Here is a 24,422-nt window from a genome sequence, read left to right on the forward strand (position 1 = left end):
AATCTCATGATTGAGTAAAAAGAATATTTTTCTTGACTCTTTGTCTATCTCTGTACTTACAGTACAGTCTTAATTACTGTGGCTTTATTATAAAGAAAAAAAAAGTCAGAAGACATAATACCAGATTTTTAGACTTAAGATTTTCTTGGCTATTCTACGTCCTTTGAATTTCCAAGTAAATTGTAGAATCACCTTTTCAATTTCAAAAATTCCTTTGAGGATTTTAATTGGACTGCATTGAGTCTATATATCAAATTGGAGAAAACTGAAATCTTTTTTTTTTATTATACTTTAAGTTTTAGGGTACATGTGCACAACGTGCAGGTTTGTTACATATGTATACATGTGCCATGTTGGTGTGCTGCACCCATTAACTCTTAACAATATCAAATCTTCTGTTCTATGGACATGAAAATGCTATTTATTTATATCTCCTTTAATCCACATTGTATGCAGAGACCTATTTCTAGTGATTAAGTTTTAGATTCTTTAAGAACTTATGTACAAAGTTTATCAGCAAATACAAATGTTTTGCTTATTCATTTCCATACTCCATGGGTTTTGTTTGTTTATTTGTTTTGAATTTTTGCATGTCTTAGGACCTCCATTATGATTTCATATAGTGGATGGTTCAGTATTTTTTATAATTTGAGAAGTGAAATGTTTAATATTTTATCACTAAGTAAGATGTTTGCTGTAGAATTGCCTGTACCACTTCTCAATAATTTTAAACCTCAGTAATTCTAAAGATGGATCATTTGTAGATGCTTTATCAGAATAAGATGTTTTCCATTATCCCAGGCTTGCTGAGAGTTTTATTGTGAATAGCTGTTGACTTCTTTCAAGTGATTTTCAGCTACTATTGAGATAATGAAAGTTATTGTTCTTAATTCTGTCAGTATGATGCATTATATGGATTGATTATGTAATGTTATAATAACCTTGCACTTCTGAAATATATTCAAGTTGGGCATGGCAGATTATCTGAGAGAGATAGAGGTAAATCTTCCCTTTTTTTTTGAATGTTTGTCTATGTTTATGAGAGATATTGACTTTTAGTTTTTCCATTTGAAATGTCTTCAGTAGTCTTTTGATCTTATCGCTCTTATTGTGCAGTTGTCAACATAACTTATCAAACTAGACAGTGAGAGATTAGAACATGAGCAACATCATTCTTAAGGCTCCTTGTGGTTATCGAGATGTTGGAGGGGATAGAGATATAAACCTGAGAAATATTTCAGTGAGAGAGTTGATGGGACTGAGGTTTGCACAGCCAATAGCAGTTGATTTTTAAAAATTGCTTATATGTGCAACTATATTTCCCTTTATAATTTTTACCCTTTACTCTGTGTGTAGAAAAGTGTATTTTATCCTGCTCTACTAGGACATTTGTGTTTTCATTTCTTTTTATAAATCTGAAATTCATGTTTATTTGTGGATTATCACTTCACTTAAAGATTTTATACAATGCCGTTCTAGCAATTTGAGATTTTGGAGTACTATACTGCTGATATTGAGTGGCAAACATAAACATAACCACTAATCGTATCTTATGATCTAAATAGAATACATACTGGTTGGAGTGGGGAAATTGTGCATATCATGAAGTAAGGACAAGCATTAGAAATAAAGGAAATATTTCTTAAGATATTTGATAGCTTAGGAAATATCATTTCATAACACTTATATTTTCAGAAAAATATTTGATGTGTTTGTGTTCTATTTCTGAATTAGATGTCACAGTAATCACTGTGCTGACTCAGGCTCTGGTCTCCAAAAACAGCTTGATCAGTTAGGGCTGAGCAGTGACTCAGCCTGGTATTGGCAGAATCCAGTTTAGTATCCTGCGATTCTTACTGTGTGTGCGCCTGTCTGACTTCACCCTGACTCAGTGGAATTGGTCTGAGACAGTTGCCTTGCTCACAGTTAGGAGCTGAAATTATGAGGCTCCCACATGATAAGGAAACAGCCTTTCTTCTCATTGTAAGATGAGTTCTGAGGGCTTTTTTGCATCTGTGAATTGTGACTTCTCACGAGGAACTCACACACTTGAGTGACCTGAGAAGACCATGAAGTGTGATGTATTTAACCTCAATTACATCACCATTTTTCATGTGATTTTTTTTTTCATTTCAGTTGTCAATGGGAACATTATCGTGCCCAAACTTACAAAACTTCCAGACAAAGCTTCCTGAGAGAAGTTGAAAGGCCACCATCAGCTGAGAAGCTGTGACGATATTTGTAGCTGCCTGAATTGGAGCCAACAAAAACCAGGTCAGGTTCTGAATCTTATTATTTATAGTAATTATGACCTGCACCTTGCTGTCCTTGCCAGGATTAGTGACAGTGGGTGGACTGATTTCATCCCCTCCATCAGCAGCCTGGAGGCTGAAGATGCAGCGTATTGTTACTGTCAACAACATAGGAGCTTGCCTGTCACGGTGTGAGAACTCTGGACAGCGAGAGGACACCAATCCACTCGTTTCTCTTGTCAAAATGACTGATATCTAAGTGGGAAATCTAATGAACCCCTCAGAAAGGGCCTTTGGATACTACTTTATCCCATGATGAAAGACAGGAACCAAAACCATACACATTTGATGGGAATTTGGGCTCATCCACTTAACAGCTGTGTGACTTTCAGGACGTTACTTAAACTTTCTTTGCTTGGTTTTCCCATCTGTAATAATAAAAAATAAAGGAATAACTATATCATACAGTATTATGAGTTGAATAGATGTTTTTAAAATGTTTATAAATAGTAAACATTTGATAACATTATTTATCATTATTTTGCTCCACCCGGTAATTATATATATAATATTTCTCACCATATTTTAAAATTTGAACCATTTCATAATTTAAAAATTGTTTTGCAACTTCCACTTCTGTAAAATGGTGGAATGGCTTATGTGGAACCAACCTGCTGGGTACACCTAAAAAAAGCTGAATAAAATATGAAAACGTGTTTGAAGGCATTAGAGCATCACCATGTCTGAGAGTCTGATTACTTTTGATGTTTTATCCCTGACATCCTCCAAGCCCCTCCTCCTTTTTTCTCTGCCCATATCTCTATAAGCACTGGTAGGAAATTCCCCACAACCCTCCAGCTCACAGGGAGAACATTCTCTCACTCTCTCCCCTTACCAACTCTAAAAGCCTAAACTCTGCCTCTTCAGGCAGGTCTGCACCAGCTCGTGCCCACCCCACACAGGCATCCTTCGTGGGAACAATAAACACTCTCTCAAGTTTTCTTGGCCTCAACTTAATAATTATTAATTAGGAAACCGGCCCATCTACCTCCATGATGGGGCATTAAACATTACAACCCAGCAGGTCTTCAAGGAGACAAGAAAAGCAGGGAAGCATAGACAGGGGAGCACTAGTTTTGTGCCTTCAGTGTCCCTTGAGACATAAGCAGGCTCAGAAATAGAGGCCCAGTCCTGAAAATCTGAAAGAAAGGAGGGGCCAAGGGGCCTCGGAGTCCATCAGAGCTTTAAAAAAATCTCATATGGCCACAGGTGAAAAACTGTCCCGAACGACTGCAGAAAAGGAGGGATCCTGACACATACCAAGGTCTTGAGGTGAAATCTTGCTAGGGAAACATACCGGGAGGAGGTTGCACCAGGAGTAGCAAGGCACCACCGTGTTGATACCCAGGCCCAAAGTACTGCAGTCCTTTGATGGCATTAACTTGGTACAGCCCTAGCATTTCATTCTGGCAGAATAAGAAGTAAATCCTCTCTGGAGTGTGAAAATTATTCCAGAGCCCAAAATTGCTTCTAAAATGTTGTAGGGCAAGTATCAGTTTAAATCTACATAGATATTAAGTGTATTAAACATAGTGTGATTTCAATCAACAATACCCAAACATACAAAATGGAGAGAAAAAAAACAGGCAACAGAAAGGGACCAAAATAATTTGCGGATATTGGGACAATAGTATATTATATGCTGAATGCATTCTATGACAAGATCAAGAATTTTAGCAGAGAACCAGAAACTATAAAAAGAAATCAAACAAATGTCAAATATAAAGTAATTCAAACCAATAACTCAATGGATGAATGTAACGGTAAATTTGACAGTTAAATTTGCTCTTGCAAGTGATCCACTGGAAGTTTGGTCAGGCCATGAGGCAATTTGTAATAAATAAAAAGAATAAAATCATTTCTAGACAAATATGATGAAAGTGATTTGATTTAATTAAGTGTAAATTATTGTCTCAAAAATTGTAAATTGATTGATCCTCAGGTGAAAGAAGCAACACTCCTTCCATTTTAGACCAAAATGTGTGAGAATTTCCTGACCAGAGAAAGAACACAGAGCACTGGGCAAGAAAAGGAGGCTGAGTGATGAGGTGGCAGCCTGGGACCCTCGAACCCACGTGAAGCCCTAAATTCCGCAGGCTTCAGTGCCTTGTGTGGAACCAGAGAGCAAAGCCATTTTCAAAAGCATTGCTCCGCCTGTAATCCCAGCAATTTGGGAGGCTGAGGCAGGAGAATAGCTTGAACCCCAGAGGCGGAGGTTGCAGACTGTCAAGACGATGCCATTGCAGTCTAGCCATTAGCATGAGCAACAAGAGGGAAACGCCGTTTCAAAAAAAAAAAAAAAAAAAAAAAAAAAAGCATTGCTCCTCGCCTTCAGACACAGCTTCCAATACAGTTTTGAAAAATAATTTAAATCATTCCATAAATACTGGAATGTAAATATTTCATAAAAATCTAGAATGTACTCCATTTAGAGAAGATAGAAGAGGCAGTCTTTCTGCTCTATAATCATCTGGAGGGCACTGTCCTGCTCTGAACTTGAGCTCTAGCCAGAGCTGATAATACGAAGACCTTTCTCTGTGCAGCCATCAGCCTCGACCCCCAGCACTGCAGGGGAGCTGAGAGAGGCCAGAGGCACAGACATAGTGGAAACTGCCCACAGATTCCGACTGAGGGAACAACGAAAGAGTGGAGTAAGAAATCACCGACTGAGCCGCTGTGGGCCTCAAGTCTGATAAACTTACGGTCACTCTATTGCTAACTAGAGAGCGTTGGACAGCAACATATTGTGTGGCCTCCACAACACTTGGAAACCAGACATGAGGAAATCCCAATTCATAGGTATTAACATCTAACTGAAAGCTACCCACCACTCGCTTATGTTTCCACAGTCTTGGATAGTGCCTGAAAACCATTTATGATTGTTTTAGGCATCATGAACAAGCCAAGCAAACAAACAAGAAAGCGTGTTTGAGAATATGCAAAAAAGACTTACCTTATTCACTAGGAATGACACTGTCAAGTACCTACCGGGAAAAAACACCAGGTGTCTTGGCGGAGTTGACCACAAGAAGGGGCACGTGCGCAATAGCGATCCTAGAGAGGGCTCTGGTATCTCGGATTAACAAGGGCCCAGAGTCCCGGCCGGTTCTGGGTATTATTAATTACTATTATTATTATTATTATTATTATTATTACTATTACTATTATTACTTCATCATCCCAGTTCATAGCTTACCATTTTCACGCACTAATAATTTTACACCTCTTCGCGTTTCTTATTTTTCTAGCTGACTCTATTGTAGAAGGACAATTAAACTTAGGACTCAGAACAACCTAATCAATGGGTAATTGTTTAAACATCAGTTCCCTCTGTCACATACTGTGACATGCAGAGTGTGTGTAAGCCTGGAGAAATGATTCACAGGAAATGTCCATGAGGAAGAGCTGTGAGTGAGAGGGTCTGTCTAGCAAAGGAGAGGAGTGAGGACTAGGTTTTTGGAGTGTGGCCTAGTAATTGAAGGGCATCAAAAGGACAAGGATCAAGATGTTCTTCATCCAGGTGTGAGGACATGCAAACCCTGCAGGTCCTCCCAGGCCAGTGGTCATGGTCTTGGAGACTTGTAGATCTAACTGTCATTTGCTCACATCCACAGTTACCACCTGGCTCCAAAGATAGCACTGGTATGGGCTAGCTTCCCGGATGCTCCAGAAGTGTAGATATAGTTTGCCAATGATTAAGAGGACAATGAAAATTGTATATTTGGTTAGATTTATATCTATGACTCCATTCAGGAAAGAAAAATGAGCAGAAGAAATAGCTCTCTGAACTAAATGAAAAATCACAACCTAGTGACATTTTTCCTTTCCCATATTGATCCTTTAATATCATGTTTGACACTTCAGAAGGTCAGCTGACCCCTGGGATATTTATCGTTAAATCATGATTCTGCTCAACCTGAGCCCATGGTTGGACCATGCCCAGGCATCTGAATACAGCCGGCCTGGGAGCCGCAGCGAGGCATTCTCTCTCATAGGAAGCTTTGACTGAGGTTCAGAGATGAATGCCTAGCACTCAAGGTCTTTTGCATAGAAACATACATGGGCTATTTGACCACTCCATCTAAGGTGTGAAAGTGAACCTGTTATCTGATTCTGCTCATCTAGGCTGAAAACACACTTCTGGATGATTCCTCTGCCCAGGATGGTCTTGTTGGGATGGATCCTCTTGCCCCTGGTGCTCTGCATTCATGGTACAGGATTCTTTGTACATATAAGTAATTTTCAGGATGAGAACAGTGGTGGCCACTCTTATCCAGTGGGTGAGACAGTGAAGATCAATGGCCAAAGTTTTTATTTCAGCCTTTCATTCAGATGGCAGAGGCTTAAAAACCTGAAGAACACCTAGATATGATGTATCTTTTTTTTCATTCACAACCATTGTTTTTGACTTGTATTCAGACTGATCAATTGTTTTTCCACCCTTTCCCATCAGGCTACTGTGATGACTCAGCCCCCATCCCTCCTGTCTGTGGCCGTGGGAGACAGGGTCTCCGTCTCCTGCAAGACCAGTCGCAATCTCATCCATAGGAATGGAGACATCTACTTGAACGGTTTCCAACAGAAGCCACACCAATCTCCTCAACCACTGATCTATATGGTGACAAACCGGGCTCCTGGGTCCCAGCCCACGTCAGTGGCAGTGGGTCTGGGAGGAATTTCATACTCACAATCACCAATGTGGAGCCAGGAGATGTTGCATATTCCTTCTGTGAGCAGCGCACTCACTGGGACCCTATACAGTGGAACGGCCCTAAACATACACCACCCTGTCAGGCCTCTGAGCCCAAGCTAAGCCATCACATCCCCTGTGACCTGCATGTATCCATCCAGATGGCCTGAAACAACTGAAGATCCACAAAATAAGCGAAAATAGCCTTAACTGATGACATTCCACCATTGTGATTTTTTCCTGCCCCACCCTAACTGATACGATATAGTGTCCCCTGCCCTTAAAAAGGTACTTTGTAATATTCTCCCCGCCTTTGAGAATGTACTTTGTATGCCTATCCCAAACCTATATGAGCTAATAATAATCCCACCACCCTTTGCTGACTCCTTTTTCGGACCAGCCCGCCTGCACTCAGATGAAATAAACAGCCTTGTTGCTCACACAGAGCCTGTTGGTGGACTCTCTTTACACGGACACACGTGACACACCCATGCAGGGTCAACCCTTCTGCTCAGCTGAGCATCTGCTTCCTCCAGGGAATCAGTGTCTGAGCAGCTGCTCCTCTTAGAGAAGAAGGAAATTGGGGTGAGGTAGAAATGGTGAGGAGCCCTTGAAGGAGGTGGGAAGATGTGGTGTGGCTCTAAGCCCAGGGGTCCCTCTCATTAAATGATCAGTGTCCAGACAGCATTGCTGAGGCAGCTCCCAGAGGGCTCCATCCTGAGTCCCTCTTCTCAGGCCCCCTGTATCACTGGCCCTGAAGAAATACTCTCCTGTTGTCCATGGCTCCAAGAACAGTTTGCCTTGCCCTGACTTTGCTGCTCAACTCACAGCCTCATTGCAGATTCCACTGGACCATACACAGTGTCAGATCCATAAGGAGGTACTGGTCTGTTCTAAATCAGCTGTTCTGATTCTCAACTTCCTGCCTTATGGCTCATCTCCATGAGATTCATGTGCTCCACCCTTTCTGGCTCAGCCATGCTCTTCCTGGCTTCCCCTAATCCCAGGTTTTCCCCTGGAAGTTTGATAGGCTTCTCCTCTAAGTATGTTGTCAATTTATTTTCTTACTTGCTTGATTTCTGGGGAAACAAGTCCTTTCAAGCCTAGGCCCTTCTGAGACCTCAGGGATGCAAGGCAAAAAGAGCAAAGCAGCTGCACGTGTATGAGACTGAATTGGTCACCTAAACTGTCATTAAGTTTTTTGCTAAGTCATTGCTTTTCTCTGGAAATAGTTTTTCAAGATGCAAGTATTTGATTTTTAAAACATGTGTGGCTTTTCCAAATGCTTTTCTTCTAAGTCTTCTTCTCCACAAGTCCAAGTTAGGCTAATTATATCCAGTAAAGTCTGGTAGCCCTTCTCTAATAGCTCCTCTTTCCGTACCCCTAGCAACACTCAGTCATAATCCCACTGATTCATCAGATGACAAATGCAAAAACTTGGAAAAATATATATTCTTCATAACAAATGCTATATATTTTAAACTGAGGCCCTAGACTTTCATCTTCTCCAATATTGTGTCTCAACTGTGTGAATTATATAATATGGCAGCAATTGTATTTCAATCTCTCCAGTTAGGAGCAGCTCAGTGCTTGCAGTATCTTTCCATTTGATTTCTATAACATTCCTAGTGGTAGAAAATTCAGTTCATTTATCCAATTACATGGCTTAGTAACAGCTGTCTGTTGGTGTAATACTTCCATGTTTTAATAATCCTATTCCCCTGTTCCATTATTCAAGCTAACAACATTCCATTGGTAAATGGCATCACTGAAAATTTACTGTTTAAGAATGAACATTATTTTTTCAATATTCTTAATTGGTTAGAAGACTTCAAAAATAACTAAATTCTGAAAAAAAAATAAGTAATGGCAGGCTCAGAGAAAAATAAATTATTTCTAATAATGTGAGGACATGACCAAATGGGAAGAGCAGTGAAAGCAGTTGCGTGTGTTCCCTTTGTCCAAAACATTTTACAAAAAGGATTTTATTGATCACGGTCCTTCATCATCACAGGTAACAAGACATGTTGACATTATGCAACTCAAGATGATGCACTGGCTGACGAGGACCATCTCTTTTGTGATATTCTTGTCAAAAACATATAATCTGAATTAGTTGAGAAAATTAGAAGGGCAATCTTAAAAATCATTGATAGTACATTTTGCAAGCATTGAGGTCATGAAAGACAAAGAAAGAATAAACAATGATCACAGATTGGAGGAGATTAAGGAGACAAGAATATTAAGTGCAATATGTCATCCTGGATTTGATACTGGAACTTGAAAGAATCTTTAGTGAAAAATTTATTGGGATCCAAATATGGAGTAAATACTATTGTATCAATATTAATTTTTCATTTTATATCATCCCACTTTGGTTATTTAAGATGTTTAATATTAAGAGAAGGTGGAGGAGAAGTATATTGAAACAATCTACTACTTTTGAAACTTTGCATAAATCTAAATTTATTTCAAAACTAATTAAAATATACAAATGAAAATATAAGTAAGAAAAGAACATAAGCTCCTAAGGAGCAATTCCACAAGTATCATTCTATTTTTCCTCATTTTCTTATTTGTGATTTCTGTTTCTTGAAATGACAATCCCGGTTTCTATTATCTATAGCAGTGGTCCCCAACCTTTTTGGCACCAGGGACTGGTTTCATGGAAGACAATTTTTCCATGGGTCTCAGAGTGGGGGATGGTTTCAGGACTATCCAAGCACATTATATTTATTGTGCACTTTATTTCAATTATTATTACATTGTAATATATAATGAAATAATTGCACAACTCATCATAATGTAGAATCAGTGGAAGCCCTGGGCTTGTTTTCCCGCAACTAGATGGTGCCATCTGGGGGTGATGGGAGACAGTGACAGATCATCAGGCATTAGTTTCTCATAAGGAGCACACAACCTGGATCCCTCACATGTACATTTCAAAATGAGGTTTGCACTGCAGTGAAAATCTAATGCTGCTGCTGATCTGACAGATGGTGGAGCTCAGGTGGTAATGCAAGCAATGGGGAGAGGCTCTAAAGACAGAGGAAGCTTTGCTTGCTTACCTGCTGCTCACCTCCTGCAGTTGTAAAAGATCAAATGAGATGTTGAATTCAATAGAGTTATTTTAAAGATGTTTAAAAAATTTATTTCTTTCGATCAGTACTCTATGATCAAATACTTAAAATGGAAAATATGAAAAAAATGATTAAACACATTGTACCTAGCTGAGGGATTTTTCCTAACCACTGCACAAATGAAGACCACGACATTGTGTAACTGCCCAACGTGTTCACCTTGCCTGCTGCCTAGACAGAGCTGATTTCTCAAGACAGGGGAATTGCAACAGAGAAAGAGTAATTCAGGCAGGGCTGGCTATGCGGGAGACCAGAGTTTTATTATTAATCAAATCAGTCTTGCTGAGCATTTAGGGAGCAGAATTTTTAAGGACAACTTGGTGGGTGGTGGGTGAGCCAGTGAGCCAGGAGTGCTGATTGGTCAGAGATGAAATCACAGGGATTCAAAGCTGTCTTCTTGCACTGAGTCAGTTCCTGGGTGGGAGACCATAAGATCAGATTAGCAGTTTATTGATCTGGGTGGTGCCAGCTGATCCGTCAAGTGCAAGATCAAAATATCTCAAGCACTGATCTTAGGAGCAGTTTGAGGGGGTCAGAACCTTGTAGCCTCCAGCTGCATGACTCATAAACCATAATTTCCAATCTTGTGGCTAATGTTAGTCCTACAAAGCCTATCTAGTCCCCAGGCAAGAAGAACATCTGCTTTGGGAAAAGGCTGTTATTGTCTTTGTTTTAAACTCTAAACTAAATTCCTCTCAAAGTTAGTTCAGCCTATGCCCAGGAATGAACAAGGACAACTTGGAGGTTAGAAGCAAGATGGAGTCAGTTAATTTAGACCTCTTTCACTGTCTCAGTCATAATTTTGCAAAGTCAGTTTCATTTGCAATAAAGAGTTTTAGTAGACATAAGGCTGGCCACACCACATGGGAGACAGAGTTAGTACTCAAATCAATCTCCCTGAAGGCCTGTAGTTAGGGGTTTTTCAAAGGCAGTTTGGAGGAAGGGGTGGCCAGGTAATGGGTGCTTGCTGCTGATTGGTTGGGTCAGAAATGAAGTCATAAAATGTCAGAGCTGTCCTCTGGAGCTGAATCTCTCCTGAGTGGGGCCACAGGATGCGGGTTAGCAGGTCCAGGTGGAGCCATTGCTGTCAGATAAGCAACAATACTTGAAAATATATCTTAAAAGGCCAATCTACAATAGTGGTGTTATCTGAAGGAGTATCTGGTGACCAGTCCACACCTTAGCAGAATCAGGCTCCTTTTTTCCCACTATTTGATGGCCTTTCATGATCTTTACAAAGGTAGCTGAGTTTTGGGTAACCCATATCATCATTTAAACTATAACCTAAATGGCTTCCAAAGTTAGCTCTGCCCAAAAGCCCAGGAATAATTAAGGAAAATGCAAGATGGGGAGGTGGGTTAGATCAGATCTCTTTTACTGCCATAATTTTCTTACTATTAAAATTTTTGCAATGGTGGTTTCAAAATAGCGACTTTCAGTAGAACAGTGGAAGTTATGAAGACAAAAAAATACCAAAAGAGAATTTTAAAACTGAAAAGTAGAATAACTCAATTGAAAATTTAGATAGGCACCACAATAGTTGACAGTGTCAGAAGAATCAGTGAACTTGAAGATCAACCAATAGAAATAATCTGTTCCAAAGAATAAAGATGTAAGCAGCCAAGCAAGACCTCAGAGATGTATAGGTCAGTGTGAAGAACACCAACAAATGTGGATGGGAGTCACAAAGGAGAAGGGAGAGAGAAAGGAGCTGAAAAAGTATGTGAAGAAATAATGGGAACATCTTTTCAAATGTATTGAAATACATTACTATATAGATCCAAGAAATGTGATGAAACACATCCAGGGGAAGCAAAAAAGATTCATAACTACACACATTGTAATTAAAATGCTGAAATACAGTTACAAAGGGAAAATCTTCAAGAGAAAAAAACCACTATGTACAAAGATACAATAATGTAGACACTGAATAAGGGTCCATTATTTCTAATGGAGACTAGAAGACGGTGGAATGGCATACTCAAATGCTGAAAGAAAAAAATCAACCCAAAGTTCTATATGCAGCAAAAGTATACTTTAAGAATAAAGCAAACTAAACATATTTCTTTGTCGATAAAGAGTCAAACTCTCTAAAATATTTGAAGAGATTTATTCTGAGCCAAATGAGTGACTGTGGCCCCCAACACAACCCTCAGGAGGTCCTGAGAACATGTACCCAAGGTGGTTGGGGCGCAGCTTGGTTTTATACATTTTAGAGAGGCATGAGACGTCAATCAAACACATTTAAGAAATACATTGGTTTGGTCCAGAAAGGCGGGACAACTCAAAGCAGGGGTGAGGATGGGGGGTGGTGAAGCGGGGGAGGTTCCAGGCTCTAACTAGCATTTCCTTGTTGACAATTGGTTGAGTTTGTCTAAAGACCTGGGATCAATAGAAAATAAATGTTCAGGTTAAGATAAAAGACTGCGGAAGACCAAGGTTCTTTTGAAGTCATACAGTGGCTGCCCTTAGAGAAAATAGATTACAAATATTTCCTATTCAGATCTTTAAAATGTGCTAGACTCTTCTTTAAGATTGGGAGAGCCTGGAAGAAAAAGATCTGGCTATGTTAATAGAGATTCTTTACAGATGCAAATTTTTCCCCACAAAGGACAGCTTTGCAAGGCCATTTCAAGATAGGGCAAAGAAACATGTTTTGGGGTAAAATATTTTAATTTTCTGCCTTGTTGCATAATGTTCCACCACAGTCAGGTTGGAAAGTAAGTCCAAGGATATGTAGGGTTAAATAAAACCCATCTGATGAGAATTTATAGTTTGTAGGGCATGACTCCCCAGACTCCTTAGATAGGAACTGAGACAAGGAAAAAAAAAATCAGAGCTTAGTCCTTACCTTGATAAACACAAATGAAAAGAAAATATTACTTGTAGATATTCAATAAATTATCTGAAATCAATTTAAGAAAACATTGCTCAGAATCACATGAAATTATAGAGGACAGTAATTTGAATCCACAAACAGAAATAAAGGCCTCAAAATAGTAAAGAACTGGGAAAAAAATAGACACAATGATAAAAAAATGTTTACTTCAATTTCTATGATATTCACTACCAAGTACAAACAAACTATTGTGGTAGATGTCAGAAAGACAGTTACTTTGGTTGGGATGGGGAGGCAGTTATTGAATGGGAAGGTGTACGAGAGAATCATCCAGAAATTTTGAAATATTCTATAGTTTCAGCTGGATAGTGAATATACATAAAACTTTATTCATTCCACATTTAGGATTTCTGCCCTTTATATGTGGTTTATTTCAATGAAAAAAAAATAGAAAAGCCAAACCTAGATTCTTTTAAAGAAAATTGGAGGCAAGAAAAAAGAATCAGCCAATATTTATGGAAACTCAACTTTATTAAAGACAAGTGCAAAATGTGCCTGGAAAAGTGCTAAAGAACTGTTGAAAAACAGGTGGAAAGAAAAGGAAATATTATAATATGTCTCTTCTCCAACTGAAGCAACACAGATTTTATCTTGGTTAGTTTTCCTTGAAACACGCAGGATATTTTATGTCCCCTTGCCCACAAGAGAAGCCCTCATCCTCCTGTTGTTGCGCTTAGCATCACTGCACCCACCGGGGGATTTGCATATTGTCCTCTAGGGAGGACCTTCCCTTGTGGGTCTGAGATAAAAGCTCAGCTCTAACCCTTACCTTGACTGATCAGGACTCCTCAGTTCACCTTCTCACTATGAGGCTCCCTGCTCAGCTCTTGGGGCTGCTAATGCTCTGGGTCCCTGGTAAGGACAGAAGGAGATGAGGGAGGAGAATGGGGTGGGAAGGTAAGCCTGGGGACCCCACTGCCTTCCATGTGTGTTCTGCCCTGCCCATGTGTTAGATGTACAGGTCTTGTTCTCCAGGATGGGGAATGTGAGGTTTAAATCTGTGAGAGTGAGGACGATTCAAAAAGAAGCAAGGACCTGTGTGCTCTGGTGAATATCGTCACACAGAGAAAGGGAGGTGGTGTAGGTGACTTCTAGAATCCCCTTTGCAGCTTGCAAATTTGGAATATGTTTAGTGTATAAATACAAACAACAAAAAATTATATAGCCTGAAATAAAAAATGAAAATTTATGATAAATGACACATGATATTTGTACATATCCTTCCACTTCTTTCTATCTATTTTAGGATCCAGTGCAGAGATTGTGATGACCCAGACTCCACTCTCCTTGTCTATCACCCCTGGAGAGCAGGCCTCCATGTCCTGCAGGTCTAGTCAGAGCCTCCTGCATAGTGATGGATACACCTATTTGTATTGGTTTCTGCAGAAAGCCAGGCCAGTCTCCACGCTCCTGATCTATGAAGTTTCCAACCGGTTCTCTGGAGTGCCAGATAGGTTCAGTGGCAGCGGGTCAGGGACAGATTTCACACTGAAAATCAGCCGGGTGGAGGCTGAGGATTTTGGAGTTTATTACTGCATGCAAGATGCACAAGATCCTCCCACAGTGCTACAGCCCTGAGCACAAACCTCTCTGCTTGAAGTGGCCCAGCTGCTCACATGTGATGTTTGTCTGGGGAGCAGCACAGCAAGTTCTCTGAGTCTGTGCATGAGGAAAATGTTGGACAACTCAGAGGAGTAGATTGGTCTCATGAATTCCTTGGTTACATCTCAGGAACTACTCATTTGTGTAGCTGCAAAAGCCTTGACATGGCAAAAGCAGTAGGAGAATGGGGAAGGTCCCATGGAGCTGATGCTGATTCATGATGCAACTGAATAAAAGCTCATTCGAATCCTCCTTTCTTACATTTCTCAATTGTAGTTAATCAGCATAAGTGCCAGGCAATTGATACAAATGTTGGCAACACATGCTGAGTGCCTCCTCATTTGTATGTATTTCATCCATTTTTATATATTTTAATAGGATAATTATTTGGTCATATTTAGAAATTGGTATTTTCCACCTTCCAAGCTTTCTATTTTCCTTACTTATTCCTTATCTTCCTATGTAATAAAGATACTGTAGACAACATTTTACACTAGTTGTAAAATGTGGCTCCCCATTTATACGGGTAGCTGGTTGGGGGCAATTAGCAAAAATCTTGGTTTTTGAGTGCCTAGACTTTTGTAAATTAATGTCAGATACAAGATCCAAATGCTAAAACTCTTTGATTTGCCTTGATTACTTCTTACTGATAGATCATAAAAGGAATTCTTGAAATTCCAAAAGTTGGGTTTTAAAAATAAAAGCATACACTGGAATATACAGGGCATAGAATTCACCCTATATATTGCTAGAAGAATAGAGAATGATAACAGTTTTAGACTTCGAGGGTACTTCAGGAATGGGAACACACAAGGAACACAGTAGATATGAGCTACTGTGTCTACCGTATTAGACAATCCTCCTGCATTTTAACTTACATTTGGTGAACTTCAGATGCCAGTGGGTGTTGCAAGTTGATGACATAAACCTAAAATCAAGTCCCGATGTATTTCTTGTGAAGAGTCACAGAGTTGAAGAGACCACTGCCTGGCTTCCTGAGTTGAGCCTGTGCCACTGCAAGTTTCATGGGAAAATGGTGAGAAAAGGTGTTTAGGTTTGTAATCATCAAAGGTTTAGTGAAGTTCCCGTGCAAAAAGACTCAATCCCATTCAACTCAGCATGAAGAGATCTTCTAGAACTCATTCTGCCCCTATAGCAGAGATGATGTGGTCAGGTTTGTGGAGATGAACATGCAGTGACGTGTTAACCAAAAGGCCCAGCAGAAAGGGATAGTGATCAATGTCCATGGTTGAGACATATACAAAGGATGATTTGCACAGCACTGGAGGAAAAAACATCCTGAGTGTTGGAGATTTCTGCCTTCCTACCCAAACTCCCACAGCCTGTCTCCTGACTCAGAACTCAGCAAATGCCACATGAAAAATCTGGCTATGGTTGCACAGAAATTGCCCTGTGCAACCTTCAAAGCTCAGTTATGTTCTCTCTTCTTGCTGGGTTTCTCTGTCTGTGCCAAATCAAAATTTCTATCCGAACGCACATTTGGTAAAAAAAAAAGGCAGAAAAACAAAATGTCAGATGAACACCAACTCAACTAGAATTAGTTGTTTTTTTACTCTAGAATTTTAGATCGCCTAGTCCTCATTTCTTCCATTACTTTCTAATGTCACTAATAGGTAACTTTGCATTTTATTTGTTTTTATTGGCACATTGTAATTGTACATATTTATGGAGTACACTTTGATGTCTTGATATGTACATATGTTGAAAAATGATCAAATCAGGATATTTAGGATGTGCATCAGCTCATGTATTTATCATTTCTTTATGTTACTCTGGGTCCCAGGTGAGGGGAATATGCGGGGGGTTGTGGGGGGTTCTGTGTGTCAGTGAAAACTCTCTCAACTTTGTTGGGTCCTTCAACCTGGCATCTCTGCTCAGCAAGCACAATAATTAAAGCTCAATGTAGATCAATGGTCTTGACTCTATTGGAAAGACAATGGGTATAATCTAGATTACATGTGTGATTATTTGTTTTTCTGTTTAAACTGTTTTTTCAAAAAATAAATTTTATTCTGTATATTTTAGGTTTGCAATATGATGTTGTGGCATACATATAGATAGTAAAATGCTTACTATAGTGAAGAGAATGAACATTTATCATCTCACATAGTTACTTTTTCGTCTGCGACAAGAGCAGCTGGCAGCTGGAATCTACTTATTTAACAAAAATCTCTAATACAGTACAGTTTTATTAACTATAGCCCTCATTTTCTACAGTAGATCTCTATACTCGTTATTCATAAATATCTACTACCTTGCATCTTTGGACCTACATCTTCCCATTTCTTCCCGTTCCACCCCCGGCCCTTAATAACGACTGTTTCATTCTCTATTTCTGCATAATTTATCTTTTTACTTATTTAATTTATTTTTAGGTTTACATGTAAGTAAAATCAGGCAATATTTTTATTTCTGTGTCTCGCTTTTTTCACTTAGAATACTGTCCTCTAGGTCCATCCATATTACGGCAAATAGAAGAATCTTATTTTTCGGCTGGGTGTGGTGGCTCATGCCCGTAATCCCAGCACTAGGCGGGTGCATCACCTGACATCAGGAGTTGAATACCAGCCTGGCCAACATGGCAAAACCCTGTCTCTACTAAAAATACAAAAAATACAAAAGAAAATTAGCTGGGCGTGTTGGCATGGGCCTGTAATCCCAACTACTCAGGAAGCTGAGGCAGGAGAATCGCTTCAACCTGGGAGGAGGAGGTTGCAGTGAGCTGAGATAGCATCATTGCACTCCAGCCTGGGCGACAAGAGTGAGACTTCTCTAAAGTAAAAATAATAATAATAATAATAAAGAATCTTCTTGTTTAAGGCTGAATTATATTCCATTGTGTGTGTGTGTGTGTGTGTGCATTTATGTATACCACATTTTCTTTATTCATTTATTTGTCCACGGATGCTCAGGTTTTTCTCATTTCTTGTGAATAATGCTGCAATAAACACGGGAGTGTAGGTATCTTTAAAAGAAGGTGGTGATTTCATCTCTTCTGTGTATGTATCCAAAATAGGGTCACTGTTGGGTTATAAGGTGGTTAGGTTTTGAATTTCTTTAGGAACCTCCATACTGTTTTCCATAATGGGTGCACCAATCATCATTCCCACCAACAATGTACAAGTGTTTTATTTTCTTCACACCCTCATCAATATTTATCTCTTGTCTTTTTTATAATAGCCATCCTAAAGACTGTAAGGCATTTTATTTCTAATCTCAGATTTCACTGTAGAAACAGTGATGACACAGTCTCCAGCTTCCCTGTCTTTGTCTCTGGAGAAAAAAGCCACCCTGACTTGCAGGGCCAGTCAGTGTTAGCAGCTACTAAGCCTGGTACCAGAAGAAACCTGAGCGGGCTCCCAGGCTCCTCATCTATGGTACAGCCCTGATTTGTGATAGTGGGTCAGGACAGGGCTTACTCTCACCATCGGCAGGCTGGAGCCTGAAGATTTGCACTTCATCACTGTTATCAGCATAGTAGTTGGTGTCCCATACTGATTCAACATGCAACAAAAACCTCCAGGAGACCTAAGGTGTTTATTTGATTATACCACCTGCTTCCTTTTTAGTCATCTGATGTGGTGCTGCTCAGTTTTAGCATCTCTGCTTTGATTGGAAATTCTGAGGTTCTCAAAAGTAATTCCTTATAATATTTATAGTTTCACTGATGGATTTTTTTCTCAGACCCAAATGCACAGCCAGGTTCAGGCACAATTTCATGGTCAAGGCCATTGGATCAGACTCACATGAGTGGACGCCTCTAAAGGTCCTGGCCAGTGCGATAAAGTAGCAACGACAATGATAAAGAAGAAGAATTAGAAAGGCAGAATTAAAGGTATAACAATTCACTGATGAAAGGACTGTGTGGGGGAGAAATTTCAAATTGTCTACACAGAAATTATTAGAATCAATGAGATACATAGTAAATAGATTAAAGATCAATATAAAAATATATTTATTTTTATATAAATGTAACAACTGCTAAAAATTAAAATTATGAAACACATCATTTATAGTAGCATCAAACCAAGAGGCATTAGAAAAAACTAACAAAATATACTGACAGCTCCAGAATATAATTCAAAGAAATCAAAGAAAATCTAAGCCAATGGAAGGCCATAGTACTTTCAAAGGTTGAAAGTCCCAGTATTGTAAAGATGTTCATTCTTCACAGATTGATATATTAAAGATAATCGAAATCAAAATTCAAACTGTTTGTAAATGGAAATGTAAAAGCTGATTCTAAATATCATATTACATTGTTAAGGAGTTTGAATAACCACAATAAACCCGAAGAAGCCCAAGAATGAGGACTTACACTACTTGGATACTCGAACCGTGCTGCTGATGTGAGTTCAAACAAATTGCCTAATGCAACAGAAGAGGGTATTCTGAGAATGACTAACACATATAGTGACACTTTTTAGGGACAAAGGTGACACTGCACAACAGAGTGAAAACAATAAAAAGCTGTCCAACATCAATAATCATCCCAGTCCTACAAATGAAAATCACAACTGTCTACCACTAAAACTTCGATAGGATGACTCAAAGGGACAATGCCAAATACAGTGACGGAAAGGGGGAACTAGAAGGGCCACACATTATGTTTGGGAATATAAAGTGGTACCACAAGTTGGAGAACTGACACTGAATATATAATCCCTTTTAATCCAGCCCTTCCACTCAGAAATGTGTACAGATGTGCACAGAAAGAAATGTGCAATAACACTTGGCCGGGCGCAGTGGCTCAAGCCTGTAATCCCAGCACTTTGGGAGGCTGAGGCAGGCAGATCACAAGGTCAGGAGTTTGAGACCAGCCTGGCCAATATGGTGAAACCCTGTCTCTACTAAAAATACAAAAATTAGCTGGGCGTGGTGGCGGACGCCTATAGTCCCAGCTACTAGGGAGGCTGAGGCAGAAGAATCGCTTGAACCCGGGAGGTGAAGGTTGCAGTGAGCCGAGATCATGCCACTGCACTCCAGCCTGGGTGACAGGGTGAGACTACATCTCAAAAATAAATAAATAAATAAATAAATAAATAAATAAATAAATAAAATAACACTCATAGCATTATTAGTGATAGCCCCAAACTGGGAATATTCTAAATACAAATCAAGAGTAATTTGAATAAATAAAATGAGGTAGGTGCATACAATTAAATACTATGGATGAATGAAAATATAAAAGCTGCTACTACATCCATGAATGTGGGTGTATCTTACTAGCATAATAATGCGCAAAAGACGTTAGAAATAAAAAGCTCACTATCCATGATTCCTTTTTATATAGTTCAAAAACCGCCATCACTAAATCAATGTTACTGAAAGTGAGATTTAAATTTGCATTGGAGAAGAGTGGGGCTAATGTTTGGGAGGAGACAGAAGGTGCTTCTAGGAGACCGGGAGTGTTCTGCTTTGGTACGGTTGTTATACAGTGTGTTCAATCTCTGAAAAATTTATTAAAACCTGCATTATAATTTGTGAGTGCATATACACATGTTGAGATTTGTGAATATACATGTATGGGTAAGTTTTATCTTATCAAAAGTTTATTTTAAAAAAGTTATGAAGCATAATGTTATTTGCACCAATCAATGCATCCTAACTTCTTTCCTTATCTAATCAAATTATATTTAATTATAATCTGTATTCATTTTCACATTCCATCTGTGAAACCAGGGCACCAAATGTAAGGAAGCCCAGGGTTTACAAGGTTACCACACTCTTAGTGTCATCAGGAACACATGAGTCACTATAATCTCTTTTATTTTTTTGTCCTGGAAAGCATCAAAATTCTAAGCTACTCAAAATGTATTGCATTTTAATGATGGTTCCTATTTACCCTAAATGTACGAATCCAATTAAGTCAATATTTGTAGAATCAGAACAATTTGCTTCAATGTGTTTTTCACTTTTATTTATTCACTGAAGACACTGGTAATTTTACACTATAAAAAGTGAAATAAAAACATACACAAAATTATACTTGCTATATCCTTCAGTAAAGATGAGATGACTAAAACCCAGATAGATTTGTTGATAGGAATTATTCAAGATCATCCAGCTAGTTGAAGAGCATCACTTAGAATTCTGGTGACCCCTTTTTAGGACAAAGCTGTTCCTAAATAATTCTAAAGATGTGCCAGTAACTTGCTAAGAACATTGAAGTACAAGTTTTTGTGTAGATATATGTTTTCCTTTTTCTTGGGTCCACACTTAAGAGCTTCCTGGATCATGTGGTAACTCTATGTTTAACCACTTGAATTGCAGACTGTTTTCCAAACCTGCTGCACCATTTTTCATTTCCACCAGCAGTGCAAAGATTCTATTTTATTGCCAACCTATGCAATGAGAAGAAAAACCTCTGAGTGAGGAGGTATTTAGAAGAACTAGAATATATCCAGATGTAAGAAAATAAATCCAAGGTAGCTTAGAGATGCCCATTAAATAGTTTTTAAATTTTTCCTAGTCTTCCCAAACCTGGTTACATGTTTTTACTACCTGGTGGATGGCACTCACTCGCAATGGTGTTTAGAGTTGGGAATGGACTCAGGAAGTGGAAAAGTTCCTTCAGACAAGGAAGAACTGGTTCAAGACACAAACTAAGGAGTGCTAATCGGAATGAAAGACGGGGATCTGAGGAAAGTGAAGTGAAAATTTCCTTTAGGAAGGAGGTAACATTTAAGCAGAATGCCTTGTTCTTTAGGTAGTGTGTCTGTCCTTAGGATCTTGTGTTCTGGACTAGTGCCTGACATAAAAGGACTGAGCACTGACATCTCTTTCTCTCACTAATTAACTTTTTGTGTCAGTTGTTGTAATTCCTTATATAGAGTAGAATGATCTCGAAAGGTTAGATGTTTTATTTAAAAAAAATTAATAAATGACCACCGTGAGTGAATCCTAAACAAGATAGAATGGGAATAAACTGAAAGAACAAAATATAAACGTATATGTCATATTTGCTTTTTGTTATGCCTATATAAATCTATAATTTTAAATTTTGAAGTCAAGGAAAATACTGGTTATTAAATTTTATCATCTATTAAACCAGTATGATGGTAAAACTTGTTATTGCCCTTCAATTATGATTCCTAATTTTGCATGAGTAATATTGTCGTTGTTATAGTCAGATTATTACAATTAAATTGCGTTGCATTATATGCCTTATATTTGAGGAATTTTTCCTATGGAATGACTTTGCATTTATCAACACATTTTTAACTTAGGTAGATTAACTTATAGGTTTTGTTGATTTTTATCCTCACCAACATTCTTTTACAATCACAAACCACAGCTTCCTCTTCTTGAGCAACCGACTTTACTTCATCTCTTTATCAGCTGTAATACATTTTTCAAGGGTTTCTAGTTTCATAAATCCTTATGCATATCATAATTTACTTGTTTCAAATTAAAAATTTTCTTCATATTTTATTTCCCTAGTTCAATAGAAAATGCATGCAGTATAATTTCTTTTATAAAAACTTTGCACATTTTCAAATATAATTACATTGATTACTGGGAGTTCATTTTGCAGGCCAGGACTCTGAAGCAAGCCTGACATTTATCTTTGAAAAAAATAACCCTTACATTCTTTGAATTTGTATTTTATTATGAAATATATGTGTTTTCTCATTTTATAAATGTTTGAATACAATTGTGTGACTCCATTGAATTTACACTCATTAGTAGTTAACAGACATGGAAATTTTATTTCAGATTACATTTCTTCTTACTGGTTCTTTTCTAAGGACTCATTTCTTCCTCAGGAAAATGTTTAATTCTCAGGTTTAACTTTCTACTCTGTTTTTCTGTCTGAGCTCTCTCTTTATTATCTAATGTCATGATTCTCTCCTTTGAAAAACAAAAGTGCTACTCTAGTTTGCCTTCCATATCACTGTTTTGATCAATTGCAGTGCCAATTCTGCTATATTGTCTTGAATATTGGGTTTTGTTTTTAATGATGCAGTTTGTTTTATTTTTCTTATATTGCAGCAGAGTTTAAGGAACTATGCTTACATTTTCGATAATTACATATTTTGTGCTATTTTTCATCCTAGGTTATATATTTTTCTTTATTTTATTGATTATGCAAAACATAATGTAGAAATGTTCTGGAGTCCACAAGAGTGTTTTTTTTTTTACTTAACTTTTCTCTTTATTTTTTTTACAACATCTTCTTTTCCTCCTTTCAATTCCTCCTTCCTCCCTTTCATTTTTCTTTTTCTATTATCTTTTTTAATGGGCCTCAACTTTATTAACTGATTGCAAGGAATAATAATCAATGATGGTTAATAACACAATTATAATGTTGGTCCATAATGCACTTTTATTATTAGTCCATTATGGTTCTTATTTATTTATTCATATTTTTAGCACTCACTAATTCATTCATTAATATTAGTAATATAATAAATTCATGTTACTATCCTGCAAAACAACCACTTAAGATATCAACATATCCAGTTTGAGGTTCTCCACAATCTCTTAAACATATTATTTCCCACCACCATCAAGTTAATCAAAATTTTCAATTCAATATTCTTTATCAATGTAGTTTATTTCTTCTACATGTATTCCTTTAAAAAGCTGTTTATTTCTTTTAAACATTATAAAAAGGATGTCATACTAGTGAAGTCTAATTTATTAATTTCTTTCTTTATGCTAGATATTTTGTTTATTTTCTCTAAGAATTTTTTTTTATCTCTAGGGTCATGAAATATGCTTCTATACCCTTTTGTAGAGGATTTACTCTTGGGCCTTTCATATTTATATTTACAATTTATTGATGATTAATATTTGTATATGGAATAGAATTAAGATTCATTTTCATATAATACAGATACTGAATTGATCCAGTATGATTAATTTATTTTACTTCTACTACTTTGAAGTAGCACTTTTATTGTAAATCAAATGACTACGCATGGGTGGAGCAGTTTCTGGATTCTCAAACTGATTGAACTGGCTAATTTGTTTGACACTTCACTGATACCATATATTTTAATTCCTGTAACTTACAGGCTTTGGTATTGTGTAGTATTAGTCCTCCAACATTTTTTATCTTAGCAAGACTGTCTTGGTTACTTTTTGCATTTTGAATGTTCATATATATTTAAGTAATGTCTTTTCAATTGCAACAATAATTCTCTGAGATTTTTTATTGTGAATGTTTTCAACAAATTTAGGGAGAATATACACTATTAAGTCTCCCAATTCATGAGCATGGTGCAACCTTCCATTTATTGGAGTTTTCTTTATTTTTATCCAACTGCATTTTGTACATTTCTGTTTGGTTTTGTTGAACATATTTTATGTGACTTTTTATTTGGGCATATTGTTAAAGAAAAATTGCCAAAGTAATATAAGAACTCCAATGTATACGTTACCCAAATTCATTTAGTAACCATAGATGACTTTCTACTTCCAAATTCTTTCTATATTTATGAGTTGGCATCTAGTTACTACTGATTCAGAACAAATCACCCAAAACTTAATGACACATTACAATTGACATCATTATACTATTATCTTTGTAGTTGTTAGGTGTTTCCTGGGCTGACCAAGATTTCTGCTTGGGATTTCTTACATGGATGTAGTCAGATAGCAGCTGGGGATGGAGTCATATAAAAGGTGGCCAATTCAGGCTATAGGATGAGTCCTCAGCTGAGGCTGTGAATCTCTACATGCTCCTGCTTGGCTTCTTGTACACTTCCTCGAAGAGTACCAGACAGATGTTTTATAACCTCTTATGACTT

The 24,422-nt window shown here is 37.9% G+C and overlaps 2 pseudogenes and 1 further gene, besides 4 other annotated features; all 3 read left to right on the forward strand.

Moving 5' to 3' along the window:
- The window catches only part of IGK (immunoglobulin kappa locus), a 1,378,008-nt gene that overhangs the window by 1,114,744 nt on the left and 238,842 nt on the right, over positions 1–24,422 (forward strand).
- Positions 13,848–13,896: a sequence feature (IGKV2D-26 leader sequence).
- IGKV2D-26 (immunoglobulin kappa variable 2D-26) lies at positions 13,848–14,600 on the forward strand (annotated as a pseudogene). Its single transcript is given in 2 exon segments — positions 13,848–13,896; positions 14,288–14,600. Coding segments are annotated over 2 exon segments (362 nt in total), but the record flags the coding sequence as incomplete, so codon positions are not given.
- Positions 14,288–14,298: a sequence feature (IGKV2D-26 leader sequence).
- Positions 16,396–16,447: a sequence feature (IGKV3D-25 leader sequence).
- Positions 16,396–18,154, forward strand: IGKV3D-25 (immunoglobulin kappa variable 3D-25 (pseudogene); annotated as a pseudogene). The gene is given in 2 exon segments: positions 16,396–16,447; positions 17,885–18,154. Coding segments are annotated over 2 exon segments (322 nt in total).
- Positions 17,885–17,895: a sequence feature (IGKV3D-25 leader sequence).

This window comes from Homo sapiens, chromosome 2 (assembly GCF_000001405.40).
Source record: "Homo sapiens chromosome 2, GRCh38.p14 Primary Assembly".
Taxonomy (NCBI): domain Eukaryota; kingdom Metazoa; phylum Chordata; class Mammalia; order Primates; family Hominidae; genus Homo; species Homo sapiens.